The sequence below is a fragment of the Homo sapiens genome, chromosome 16 (genome assembly GCF_000001405.40).
Source record: "Homo sapiens chromosome 16, GRCh38.p14 Primary Assembly".
NCBI classification, from domain to species: domain Eukaryota; kingdom Metazoa; phylum Chordata; class Mammalia; order Primates; family Hominidae; genus Homo; species Homo sapiens.
The window spans coordinates 19,487,920-19,501,302 of record NC_000016.10 but is presented as its reverse complement, the minus strand read 5'-3'; the positions used below and the strand labels follow the sequence as shown (position 1 = coordinate 19,501,302).

Here is a 13,383-nt window from a genome sequence, read left to right as displayed (position 1 = left end):
AAAGATACCTCTGTTCAACACTAGCTGTTCAACAGGCTGTTCAACACTAGCCTGGGCAACATAGTGAGACCCCATCTCTACAAAAAATTTACAAATAGGGGCTGAGATGGGAGGATCACTGGAGCCTAGCAGGTTGAGGCTGCAGTGAGCTAGGATCGTGCCACTGCACTACAGCCTAGGGGACAGAGTTTGACTCCAATCTTTAAAAATTTCATAATAATAATAATATCCCTTTGTGTTGTGGGAAGATCTCTGGAGAGCCATGAGATCTCTGTCTCTTGATCTTTATCCCAAATCCATTTTACCTTTGATTCAGCCAGGCCAAATTAAGGATTTAGGTCCTATGCTAAGATGGTCAGGGCCTCAAAAGGTGGAGAATTTGAATGATGAAATAAGGTATTAATAACTACTATTAAGCACTTCCTTGGAAGGCTTAGTATAGGGTTAATAACAGGATTTGGAATCAGAGAAAGCCAAGTCTGCCTTCCTATTCAGCAACTTACCAGCTATATGACCTTGGGTAAGTTACTGAATTTATCTGTAAAATAGGGGTAGTATTCTTGCGGTGGTAGTGATTAAATGAAAGAGTGCATGTAAAATCCTTGCTAATTAACATTTATTGACTGCCTACCATGTCCTAGACTGTTTAAAATGCTTTCCATGTACAGTAGTTTCTTTATTTTTTGAGACAGTCTCACTCTGTCACCCAGGCTGAAGCGCAGTGGTGCGATTTCAGCTCACTGCAACCTCTGCCTCCTGGGTCCAAGCAATTCTCCTGCCTCAGCCTCCTGAGTAGCTGGGATTACAGGCGCTTGCCACCACGCCCGGCTAATTTTTGTATTTTTAGTAGAGATAAGGTCTTACCATGTTGGCTGGGCTGGTCTCGAACTCCTGACCTCAGGTGATCCGCCCACCTCAGCCTCCCAAAGTGCGGGGATTACAGGCATGAGCCACTATCCACTGCATGTACACCTCCAGGAGAAGCAGGGCTGCACTGAAGTGGAGACAAGGGATGGAGGTGAAGGGAGAAGCATTCTAGATGGAAGCACTTAGCATCTGGTGAATGAGCAGAAGTGATGCTTTCAGAGAGAGTTCAGATTTCATTGTAGAAGCCCAAGCAGCAGCCGGGCATGGTGGCTCACGCCTGTAATCCCAACACTTTGGGAGGCTGAAGCGAGCGGATCATCTGAGGTCAGGAGTTCAACACCAGCCCAGCCAACATGGTGAAACCCCGTCTCTACTAAAAATACAAAAATTAGCCGGACCTGGTGGCACGCTCCCGTAATCGCAGCTACTCGGGAGGCTGAGGCAGGAGAATCACTTGAACCCAGGAGGGGGAGGTTGCAGTGAGCTGAGATTGTACCACTGCACTCCAGCCTGGGAGACAGAGGGAGGCTCCAACTCCATCTCAAAAAAAAGCAAAGAAAAAAGCACAAACAGCACTAAGATGACCCCAAGGGGAATAAAATCACTTCCAACATCACTTCCATGGGTTGCCTGCACTGACCCCACAGACAAGTCTCCCTTAGTCCCTGTGCTTCTTCAGAGCATCTACTACAACTGTAATTAATTATTGCTTAAGAATTAAATTCATGTCTAAACCTGCTAGACAGGCAGCACCATGAATTGTTCACCATCTTGCTCACCACTATTTGGTCCATATTTGTTGAATGAATGGATGGATGAACACTACATACAACTGTTACCAAAGATGACACCAAAAGAAATTAATTCCTCCGATGAAGTGAATTAATGAAAAAAATAAGTGAATGAAAAAGTGCGTGGTCAAGTGCAGTGGCGTGTGCCTGTAGTCCCAGCTACTTGGCAGGCTGAAGTGGGAGGACTGCTTGACCTAGGAGTTTGAGTCAAAGCTGGCAACACAGCCCAGCCTTATCTCTTAAAAATAAAAAAAAAAGGGAATAAATGACAGCACTGGTTGGGTGCTTGTGTTTCGAATGTATCTTAACTGCTTTCTAAATTCAGTTCCAATTAGGTTTTATGCGAGTGATTACTTAAGAGGAGGCTCCTCTCTCCTGAGTAACTGCACCTTTCTGCTGGACCTTTCAGTGTTAAGAACAGCCACGTGGCTTGTGAATCATTTGGCAAACCTGCAAAAACATTATACACACACGTATTCATTACATATGTGCACACACACACACATTCCACACATCACCACCAGTTTCATATTTGGTTTGAATAAGACTTTTAATTTACTTTATTTATTTATTTATTTATTTTTTTGAGGCAGAGTCTCACTGTTGCCCAGGCTGGAATGCAGTGGTACAATCTCGCCTCACTGCAACCTCTGCCTCCCAGGTTCAAGCAATTCTCCTGCCTCAGCCTCCCGAGTAGCTGGGATTATAGGCATGTACCACCACGCCCAGCTAGTTTTTTTATTTTTAGTAGAGACGGGGTTTCACCATGTTGGCCAGGCTGGTCTTGAACTCCTGACATTAAGTGATCCGCTTGCCTCAGCCTCCCAAAGTGCCGGGATTACAGGCATAAGCCATCGCACCCAGCTAATTTCTTTTCTTTTCTTTTTTCTTATTCAGTCTCCGTAGAGACTGTCAAAAATTGCCAGCGCTGATTATATTTCAAGTCATCACGGTGGGGTATTGGGAAAATTTCCAATTAGCAATAATCGCGTCTCGGATAAATCTCATTGGCTACGGTACTGCCACTGCAAAGCTAGCTTGACGTAGGACTTTGATGGTCATGTATAACACCTCACAGGGGCAGAACCTCCTCCATCCCCGACTCCAAAGACTCATGTAATCAGTACGCAAGAAAGTTCAGAGATGAGACCTCTGGTTGTATTCCACCTTTGGGACATGGGGGATGTCTTTAGTTCAAAGTCACAAATAAATGCAGGTTCTACAATTCAGAGGCTTCATATCCCTGCTGGAGTATTACATGTTTATTCAGGATGGACCACTTTTCTTAGCAACAGTTTCTAAACCTTTGCCAGGTCTGGGAAGTCTGGCAGGAGAGATTTCTAAGAACCAATCATTCCTGCACACACTTCTTGAAGATAATATACATTATTCCCTAGTTATCTCTTCCTAGGTTTTTGTAGGCTCATTTCAATATTACAACAATCTTTATTGGAAAACCCCAAGTATTTTGTCTTGAAAAATCAGCAATCCAGGTATTAAAAATAGCATGGAATGCCCAATTTTACTTTGATAATTACATGGTAGTCAGTTTCCGCTCCTGGCTAAAGCCTTGGATTTTCTTCTGGGCAGTTCCTAAAGGCACAGGTGGCATGGAAGAAATCATTCCATTTTCGTCTCCTCCCCTTATTTGATTGGTGTCTGGTTACCAAAAGAGTCATCAGGCCCTTGGATTACCTTCTTGAACTGATCTTCTAGATCGCAAGTCTAGGTTTGACACAGGAAAGAGAAGTTAACGCAGGCACACTCTGCCCCATCTCTACAAGGGAAAGACCAGCTTGCCTTCAAGATTCCATAGCTTCTCATGCCTTCTTTGCCTCTTCCTTTTAGTTTCTATAATCCTTCCCTTGAACTCCCATCACTGGAAGTCATCAGTAAATGCTATCCCCCAAAAATAAATGGGTTTGCTTGTTTGTTTCCTGCCCAGAATTCGCTCTCCTGGCATCAGCCCCAGATTTTCTTTAGGAAGTCACCCTTCCCTACTCTTGGTCCCTATGGTCTTCATGGTTGCACCACCTGCATCTACAGATGAAATCATGTGATCAAGGGAACTGCCACATTTTTGCACCCACAACAATTGGTTCATAGACGGGGACATCACCCAGTCAGATCCTATGAAACACCGTGAGAATCCTGGGTCCCTCAGTCTTTCCCACCAGACTGACTCTGAGAAGATATAAGAAGTTGATAAAGCTGTCTTGCACTTATTAGGCAGAGTCTATTGCAAAAGGAACTAACATGGGTAAGAACGGAACTGAAAGAAACCGGGTTCTGGTGACACTGTGAGTTCCTGCGTTAGGCAAGGCCTAAAGCAAGAATTATTCTTGGAATTTTGTTTAAGCCAGTTTGGATCCAATTTGCAACTGAAAAAGTAATGGACACATGAGCAATTCTTACACTTGTCTTAGGATATTTCACCAGAAATAAATTAGTGTCTTATTCTGTCCCAGTTTAATTACTCACCAAGACTGCCATCATGTTCCCCCAAATGCAAAAAGCCTTGTTGCTGAAAAAGAAAAAAACAAGCAGCCACGTCACGGAGGAAGAATGCAGATTCTGGGTCTTGTCACATATTTGGCACAATTTGTGAGCCCCTCACCATTTTATAGAAGTTAAGGGATGAGAGATTAAGGCCAAGTCTCCGCCATAGAAATATTGAACATGTTTTGTTTTTTAGGGAGAGTGATTCCATTCATTCATTCCACAGATACTCTTTTTTTTTTTTTTTTTTTTTTTTTTGACAGAGTCTTGCTTTATCTCCTAGACTGGAGTGGAATGGCATGATCTCGGCTCACTGCAACCTCCGCCTCTCGGGTTCCAGCGATTTTCCCGCCTCAGCCTCTGGAGTAGCTGGGATTATAGGTGCCTGCCACCACGCCCAGCTAATTTTTTTTTTTTATTTTTAGTAGAGACAGGGTTTCACCATGTTGGTCAGGCCGGTCTCAAACTCCTGACCTCAAGTGATCTGTCCACCTCGGCCTCCCAAAGTGCTGGGATTACAGGCGTGAGCCACCGCACCTGGCCGTTCCACAGATATTCACTGAGCATTCATATTATGCCAGGTAATAAATTAGGACGTGGGGTGACAAGTGCACAGACGTGGTCCTCACCTTCAGAGAATCTACCTTTAGGCCTCTAGATCCCTTACCTAAATTGTGCTGACAGTATAAATTTGCACAGATGGTAAATTACTTGTCAGTCACTTCTGTCAAGATCACAATTTCCAACATAAGTGGTATTTGCGTTAAGGTGGATTTACTGTTCATCTGTATTTTCAGGACACTCAGGAAGCAAGCAAGGCTTTGGAATTAGAGCAGGGTTTCATGTATCTTTATATTCTCTTGGTAAGAATGAAATTGATTAAATCTTTTTAAGGGAATGATATAGCAATATCTATTAACATTGTCATGTACGTGCTTTGTGGCAGAAATATTCACAAAAAATAACTTTTTAATTTTTTTTTTTTTTTGACACGGAGTCTTGCACTGTTGCCCAGGCTGGAGTGCAATGGTGTGACCTTGGCTCACTGCAATCTCCACCTCCTGGGTCCAAGTGATTTCCTGTGCTTCAGCCTCCCAAGTAGCTGGGATTACAGATGTGCACCACAACACCCAGCTAAGTTTTCTTGTTTGTTTGTTTTTGTTTTTTATATTTTTACTAGAGATGGGTTTCACCATGTTTGCTGGGCTGGTCTCGAACCCCTGACCTCAAGTGATAAGCCCGCCTCGGCCTCCCAAAGTGCTGGGGATCACAGGAGGGAGCCACTGTGCCCAGGGTAATTTTTTTTAGAGAGAGGGTCTTGTTCTGTCTCCCAAGCTGGAGTGCGGTGATGGGATCATAGCTCACTGTAGCCTCAAACTCCTGGGTTTGAGCAGTCCTCTCACCTCAGCTTCCTGAGTAGCTGAGGCTACAGTTGCATGCCACCGTGCCTAATTATTAAAATTTTTTAAGGGATGGGGTCTCGCTATGTTGGTCTTAAACTCCTGGCCTCAAGCAGTCCTCCCCTCCCACCTCAGCCTCCTGAGTAGCTGCGATTATAAACGCACAAAAAATAATTGTAACAAAATGTTTCATTACCTACTGTTTTAAGTATTTAAAAACATAGAAACAACCCAAATATCCAAATATGTACAGAATTAAACATCGTTCAAGATATAGTATTTAGTGGTGGGCTGCGGGGGAGGGAAGTTATGATACTATTTGTATAATATAGCCTCACTTTTGTAATAAACAAGTAAATTAAAGTGTTGGTAGATACAGGTATGTTTGCAGATGCCTAGGGAAATAGATTTGCAAGAATAGACACTGAAGTAGGCCGGGCGCGGTGGCTCACGCCTGTAATCCCAGCACTTTGGGAGGCCGAGGCGGGCGGATCACGAGGTCAGGAGATCGAGACCATCCCGGCTAAAACGGTGAAACCCCGTCTCTACTAAAAATACAAAAAATTAGCCGGGCGTAGTGGCGGGCGCCTGTAGTCCCAGCTACTTGGGAGGCTGAGGCAGGAGAATGGCGTGAACCCGGGAGGCGGAGCTTGCAGTGCGCCGAGATCCCGCCACTGCACTCCAGCCTGGGCGACAGAGCGAGACTCCGTCTCAAAAAAAAAAAAAAAAAAAAAGAATAGACACTGAAGTATTCATAGTGAGATGAGATTTCAGGGCCCTTTTCATCTCAGTGGGATCTACTTCTGTATTATCGGGGTTGTGAAAAACAAGCGTGCAAGTTCCATGAGGGCGGGGGCTTTGTTTTGTTCACCGTAACCCCAGCACCTAGAAAAAGTACAGGCATGAAAAGTGCTGAAAAAATGAATATTACTTTTTTTTGAGACAGAGTGCCACTCTGTCACCTAGGCTGGAGTGCAGTGGCATGATTTTGGCTCACCGCAACCTCCACCTCCTGGGTTCAAGCAATTCTTCTGCCTCAGCCTCCCAAGTAGCTGGGGCTACAGGTGCGTGCCACCACACCCAGCTAACTTTTGTATTTTTAGTAGAGACAGGGTTTCACCATATTGGCCAGGCTGGTCTCAAACTCCTGACCTCTTGATCCACCCGCGTAGGCCTCCCAAAGTGCTGGGATTACAGGCGTGAGCCACTGCACCTGGCCATGAATATTACTTTTTAAGTAAAAACCACAGAAATACTTAAGACAGAGAGTGAAGGGCCCTTCCATGATCCCAAGAGCTTGGTCTGTAGTTCTCTGACGCGCTTTTTACATGGAGGCAAGCTCGTGTCCCAGGGGTCCCCAAGGCAGCCTCCAGACTCACCTCCACCTCTCTCCTTTCCAGAACAAGTGAGCTGGGGTTTGCTTTCTTCTCCATATCCTGCAGCTTGATCAATTTTTCTATCAGGAACATTTTATCTTTGCCCTCCTACCAAGAAGGAAAACAAAACCAGAAAGAAACAAAAATATGAATGAATGATGGTATGGAATTGAGAAAGCAATTGATGGGAAGAACGTCGGTTTTCAGGCAGCTAGGATCCTAGAAGTTGGATGGAGGTTACTGCCATCTTTTGGTGAAAGAAAAGAAACATTTCACAGTAAAACCAAATTATCCCCCAGAGCCTTCCTGCACTGTAATATTCTCCTCTAAAGCAATTCCCCTAACAGGCTTGAGAAAGTAGCCTCCAGAAGTCGGCTGCTGGAAGCAACTTACATGCCACGTCTCAATACCCAGGAAAAATGGTTTCCAGTATCCCCCATAGGCACGTGCCCCAGAGCAAGACTCCATGTCAAAACAAAAAAAAAAGATATATGTAGGATATGGAAAATATGAAACAGATGACCTGCATTCTTTAACAATAAAAAGAAAAGAGGAAGTGGGGAGGGGAAGTGGTAAATGGTTATAGAGTAAAAGAAAGTTAGGCATATTGGCTGGGCGCAGTGGCTCACGCCTGTAATCCCAGCACTTTGGGAGGCCAAGGCAGGTGGATCACTTGAGGTCAGGAGTTTGAGACCAGCCTAGTCAACATGGTGAAACCCCGTCTCTACTAAAAATACAAAAATTAGCTGGGCGTGGTGGCACACACCTGTAATCCCAGCTACTCAGGAGGCTGAGGCAGGAGAATCACTTGAACCCAGGAGGCAGAAGTTGCAGTGAGCCAAAATCATGCCACTGCGTTCCAGCCTGGGAGACACAGTGAGATTCTGTCTCAAAAAAAAAAAAAGAGAGAGAGAGAGAGAGAGACATTAACCAAATGCAACATGTACCCCCTTTTCAGATCCTGATTTGTGCAGTTCTAGTATAAAAAGACACTTAAGGGGACAGTTGGGGAAATGTAAACATTGGATATAAGATGATAATAATAAATTATTGTTAAGTTTTTTAAGTGTGATGATGATATTGTAGTTATTTTTAAAAGTCTTTATCTCAGCTGGGGGCGATGGCTCACACCTGTAATCTTAGCACTTTGGGAGGCCGAGGCGGGCGGATCACCTGAGGTCGGAAGTTTGAGACCAGCCTGACCAACATGGAGAAACCCCATCTCTACTAAAAATACAAAATTAGCCGGGTGTGGTGGCAGGCGCCTGTAATTCCAGCTATGCGGGAAGCTGAGGCAGAAGAATTGCTTGAACCCGGGAGGCGGAGGTTGCAGTGAGCCAAGATTGCTCCACTGCACTCCAACCTGGGCAACAAGAGTGAAACTCTGTCTCAAAATAAATAAATAAATGAAATAAAAGTATTTATCTTATAGAGAGATATATATATATATATATCTAAGTTTTAATAAATAAAAAATAATATAAAGCCTAAGATTTGCTTTAAAATAATCCAGGGAGCCAGATGGAGTGGCACCTGCCTGTAATCTCAGCTACTCCGGAGGCTGAGGCAGGAGCCCAGGAATTTGAATCCAGCCAGGGCAACATAGCAAGACCCCCACCTCTAAAAAAATAAAATAAGGCTGGGTGTGATGGCTGTAATCCCAGCACTTTGGGAGGCAGGTGGATCACCTGAGGTCAGCAGTTCGAGACCAGCCTGGCCAACATGGTGAAACCCTGTCTCCACTAAAAATTCAAAAATTAGCTGGGCATGGTGGCAGGCACCTGTAATTCCAGCTACTTGGGAGGTTGGGGCAGGAGAATCGCTTGAACCCTGGAGGCAGAAGTTGCCGTGAGCCGAGATTGCACCACTGCACTCCAGCCTGGGCAACAAGAGCAAAACTCTATCTCAAAATAATAATAATAATCATCATAATTAAAATAAATAAATACTAAGAATAAAAATAAGGGATTTGCTGGGAAGAGAAAGTGTAGATGAAATAAGAATATAAAAACATTGATGGTTGTTAGGGCTGAGAGCAGGGATATGAGAGTTCATTGTAGTATTCTCTTTATTTTGGAGGATGTTTATACAGCGTTTAAAAAGGGTGAGGGCGGACATCAGAGGGATCCAAGGGGACTTACATTAATGATCTGCTCATGGAGCAGCCTTATCATAATCTTCCTTCCCTCTGTGATCTGCCAGTAAAGATAGGTGATGATTCTGGAAGAGGAGAAAAGAAAGAATGACACTCTTGCAAATGTTTTGCAGGCTCTGAATTTCCACTGGATGCAAAGGAACTGGAATCTGTGCTTGCAGATGGATTTGGCCCAAACATGTTTCTGAAAAGTCATGTCAGGGAGAGTTATAGGTTAAATACATTGGAACAATGGTTCCTGAAGGGGGAAATAAGCCCATGCCACAGCTCCTCTTCAGACCAATTAATTGAGCATCTCTGGGCATGTCATCTCCTTAAGAGGAGAAAAGCAGGTATTGCTTTCTTAATAGAATAAGTTAAAAAAAAAGTCCCTAAGATGACCCAGCACGGTGGCTCATGCCTGGAATCCCAGCACTTTGGGAGGCCAAGGCGGGCGGATCACTTGAGGTCAGGAGATCGAGATCATCCTGGCTAACACAGTGAAACCCTGTCTCTATTAAAAATGCAAAAAATTAGCTGGGCGTGGTGGTGGGTGCCTGTAGTCCCAACTACTCGGGAGGCTGAGGCAGGAGAATGGCATGAACCCAGGAGGCGGAACTTGCAGTGTGCTGAGATCGCGCCAGTGCACTCCAGCCTGGGTGACAGTGCGAGACTCTGTCTCAAAAAAAAAAAAAAAAAAAATCCCTAAGACAAGAAGATAGTATATATAACCTTTCCCCCCTTCCCCCAGTGATGGGGTCTTGCTCTGTTGCCCAGGCTGGAGTGCAGTGGCACGATCAGAGAACACTGCAGCCTCAAACTCCTAGGCTCAAGCAATCCTCCCATCTCAGCTTCCCAAGAAGCTCAGACTACAGGCACAAGCCACTGCACCAGGCTAAGTAACTTCAAAAAAACTATCAATGCAAGCTTGGGCAAGGTGGCTAACACCTGTAATCCCAACACTTTGAGAAGCTGAGGCAGGAGGATAATTTGAGGCCAGGAGTTTGAGACCAGCCTGGGCAACACAGGGAGACCCCATTTCTCCAAAAAATTTAAAAATTAGCCAAGTGTAGTGGTGCACACCTGCAAGCCCAGCTACTTGGGGGCTGAGGTGGGAGGATGGCTTGAGCCTGAAAGGTTGAGGTTGCAGCAAGCCATGACCATGCCGCTACAGTCTAGCCTGAGTGAGAGATCATGACCCTGTCTCAACCAAAAAAGAAAGAGAGAAGTAAGGAAGGAAGGAAGGAAGGAGAAGGGGAAGGGAAGGGAAGGGAGGGGAAGGGGAAAGGAAGGGAAGGGAGGGGAAGGGAGAAAGAAGGGGAAGGGAAGGGAGGGGAAGGGAGAAAGAAGGAAGGAAGGAAGGAAGAAAAAATGAAGAGGAAAGGAACGGAACTGAAAGGAAAGGGAAGGGAGAAAGGGAGAAAGAGAGGGAGGGAGGGGAAGGGAAGAGAAGAGAAAAGAAAAAAAGGAAGGGAAGGAAGGAAGGAAGGAAGGAAGGAAGGAAGGAAGGAAGGAAGGAAGGAAAGAAAACTACCTATGCAAGGGTAGAGTCACCCAGAACACTGAGCTATGCTATAGCCATTTGCTTTCCAACCAAACATCCCTACTGCTGTTTCCCTCGAGAGCTCCTGGCTTTCCCTGCTAGATTCCCCGGGTACCACACTCACAGCACAATGAGGGTGAGGATGAAAAAGAAGTGCACACTTCCAATGAGGTTCCGATAGATCCAAACAACCCACAGGTAGCCAGGCCGTGTACTTAGGGTGTCGATCCAGCTGTAGATGGAGTGAATGAAGAGAGGCAGACCTCGAAAAGGGCCACAGTCAGCTGAAGGCTTCAATCTGGTAAAACAAAGATGGAAGAACATCTCTAGCACAAGACTCAGGGATGGTTATTCTAGAATCAGGGTGTCCCTTCTGGGCTCTGGGCCTGAAAACATCAAGTCTTGCCTGATCCAATCACACCCACTTCCCAAAGAAACCCTCTTGCTCTCAGCCTTGCTGGGGTGACCTGTACTCTAAGGACCTGCTCTCAGATCAGAGCTGACCCAACAGCAGCCAATCCAAAGGCCAAGCAGTGACTTCTGCAGTAACTTGGCTCAATGATATGAATGGGGGCAGTCAGACTTTTTTTCTTAAGAAGTTGAATTAAGGCCAGGCACTATGGCTCATGCCTCTAATCCCAACAGTTTGGGAGGTCAAGGTGGGAGGATTGCTTGAGCCCAGAAGTTCAAGACCAGCCTGGGCAACATAGTGAGACTCCATCTCTACAAAAAAATAATTAGCTGGGCATGGCAGCACATGCCTGTGGTCCTGGCTACATAGGAGGCTGAGGTGGGAGGATCACTTGAGCCCAGGAGGTTGAGGCTATAGTGAGCTGTGATCACACCACTGTACTTCAGCCTGGGCAACAGAGCAAGACCCTGTCTGAAAAAAAAAAAGAAATGAAATTAAAGACAAGTATGGTGGCTCGCCTGCAATTCCAGCACTTTGAGAGGCCAAGGCAGAAGGATCTCTTGAGGCCAAGAGTTCGAGACCAGCCTAGGCAACATAGCAAGACACCCATTTCTAAAAAAAAAAAAAAAAAAAAAATTAGCCAGGCATGCCAGGCGCGGTGGCTCATGCCTGTAATCCCAGCACTTTGGGAGGCCGAGGCGGGTGGATCACAAGGTCAGGAGATCAAGACCATCCTGGCTAACACGGTGAAACCCTGTCTCTACTAAAAATACAAAAAATTAGCTGGGCGTGGTGGCGGGCGCCTGTAGTCCCAGCTACTCAGGAGGCTGAGGCAGGAGAAGGGCGTGAACCTGGGAGGCGGAGCTTGCAGTGAGCCGAGATTGCGCCACTGCACTCCAGCCTGGATGACAGAGTGAGACTCTGTCTCAAAAAAATAAAAAATAAAAAAATAATTAGCCAGGCATGGTGATGTGTGCCTATAGTCCCAGCTACTCGGGAGGCTGAGGTGGGACAATCACGTGAGCCCAGGAGTTTGAGCTGTGATTGCGCCCCTGCATTCCTGCCTGGGTGGCAGAGCAAGGCCCTGTCTCAAAGAAAGAAATTGAATTAAGAAGCATAAAGAGGGAAGCCTGTTAGCTATGGAGGAATGAGCAGAAACTATAGGGCAACAAGGAACTGGTGAGGAAGAGAGAGAAGAGAGTGGATATGCCAAGAGGAGCAAGGGCGTTGTGGAGCAAGGAAGAGAGAGAAGAGAGTGGATATGCCAAGAGGAGCAAGGGTGTTGTGGAGCAAGGAACTGAGAGCCCCAGTTTCACATGTGTCCTAAAAATCATCTCCCTTGTTCATTAATTCATTCAATTGTTCATTCAACCATGGCTTATTCTGTTAAGCACTGTTCTAGTCAGGCTCTGGGGACTTCATATTAAGCAAGTTCCTGCCCTATTGGGATTACATTCTGGTGGGAAAAACGGACAATCGTTGAGTAACAATTAAAGACTCACACAGAGGCATTCCTGATTATGAATGATAGAATGAAGGAAAGAAACTCAGGTCTGAGAGAGAGAAGCAGTGGGGAACTGAGAGCAGACAAGGAGGGCTGTGAAGATCAGATCTTGGAGAGGGCCTTGGAGCTGAGAATCAGAGGGTGGAGAGGAGGCAGCCAAGCAAAGGGAGTGGGAAAAGGACTTCACTCAGAGGACTCTGCCCTTGTTGGGAGGGGCTTGCTGGCTTCCAGGAATGGGGTGAGGGTGGTGGGGCGGGGAACAGTGGAGCCAAAGGGAAGTGGGGTTGGAGAGGTGGGAGGAGCCAGATGAGTCCTGCCTTTCTGTTAATTTAGATGAAGTTCTGTTCTGGATGTGGAGGAACGGGGTGGGGGGGCATCTCCCCATTCTGGGAAGCTTCAGTTCTTGGCAGAAGTGAGAAAGCTACTCCTGACCGTGGGCATCGGATGGGTGGTGATCAAACTAGGATGCATTCCCTCCCTGGCTTTTAGTGTCTGTTGGTTAGCCAGGGAACTTGAGTTAGGCACTGTATTAAGCATGTCTTTTTATTCTGATGTTTTGACATCTGGGGTCTTACTGACTCCAGCTCCCAGGGCTAGCTGCCCTTCCCTGGGCTAGCTTACAAAGCACACCTTTCAAATGCAAACCAACCAATCCAGATCCCACACCCGCAACCGCCCCCTTTATCAGGCTCTCACACTCTGGGCCACCACTCCCCTGCCCTAATCACCCCAGGGCCAGGTGCCAGACAACTCAGGGCGGATCCATATCCCACAGCCTACTGACAAACCAGCCAACCCTAAACCTGCTTCCCCTGCCTTGCCCATTCCTTACCATAGAAAACCACAATAAAGCCTCT

General features: G+C 46.0%; 1 protein-coding gene and 1 pseudogene across 5 annotated transcripts in view, besides 2 other annotated features; both read right to left on the bottom strand.

The window, feature by feature from the left end:
• Nucleotides 1–2,189: 2,189 nt before the first annotated feature.
• The window catches only part of TMC5 (transmembrane channel like 5), an 88,575-nt gene continuing 77,381 nt past the window's right edge, over nucleotides 2,190–13,383 (bottom strand). For 4 of the 5 annotated variants that reach the window (NM_001308161.1, NM_001105248.1, NM_001261841.2 and 1 more), the window contains 5 exons: nucleotides 10,735–10,908; nucleotides 9,075–9,153; nucleotides 6,937–7,041; nucleotides 4,140–4,182; nucleotides 2,190–3,383 (listed from right to left, as the gene is read on the bottom strand). In NM_001308161.1, the coding sequence (NP_001295090.1) occupies nucleotides 3,337–3,383; nucleotides 4,140–4,182; nucleotides 6,937–7,041; nucleotides 9,075–9,153; nucleotides 10,735–10,908 (448 nt within the window). In that variant the 3' untranslated portion in view covers nucleotides 2,190–3,336. The remainder of the gene's footprint in view (nucleotides 3,384–4,139; nucleotides 4,183–6,936; nucleotides 7,042–9,074; nucleotides 9,154–10,734; nucleotides 10,909–13,383) is intronic. The other variant, NM_001105249.1, reaches the window with a different exon arrangement.
• Nucleotides 2,553–2,693, bottom strand: RNU4-46P (RNA, U4 small nuclear 46, pseudogene; annotated as a pseudogene).
• Nucleotides 4,582–4,793: a silencer, noted in NCBI's record as "fragment chr16:19507832-19508043 (GRCh37/hg19 assembly coordinates)". NCBI's record gives its function as "represses an EF-1alpha promoter that drives an FKBP-Casp9 reporter gene in an ReSE screen in K562 erythroleukemia cells {active_cell/tissue: K562}" and the evidence as "EXISTENCE:reporter gene assay evidence [ECO:0000049][PMID:32094911]".
• Nucleotides 12,607–13,295: an enhancer, noted in NCBI's record as "H3K27ac-H3K4me1 hESC enhancer chr16:19499330-19500018 (GRCh37/hg19 assembly coordinates)". NCBI's record gives its function as "activates a minimal SCP1, AML or CMV promoter by ChIP-STARR-seq in naive H9 embryonic stem cells {active_cell/tissue: H9 hESC(naive)}" and the evidence as "EXISTENCE:reporter gene assay evidence [ECO:0000049][PMID:30033119]".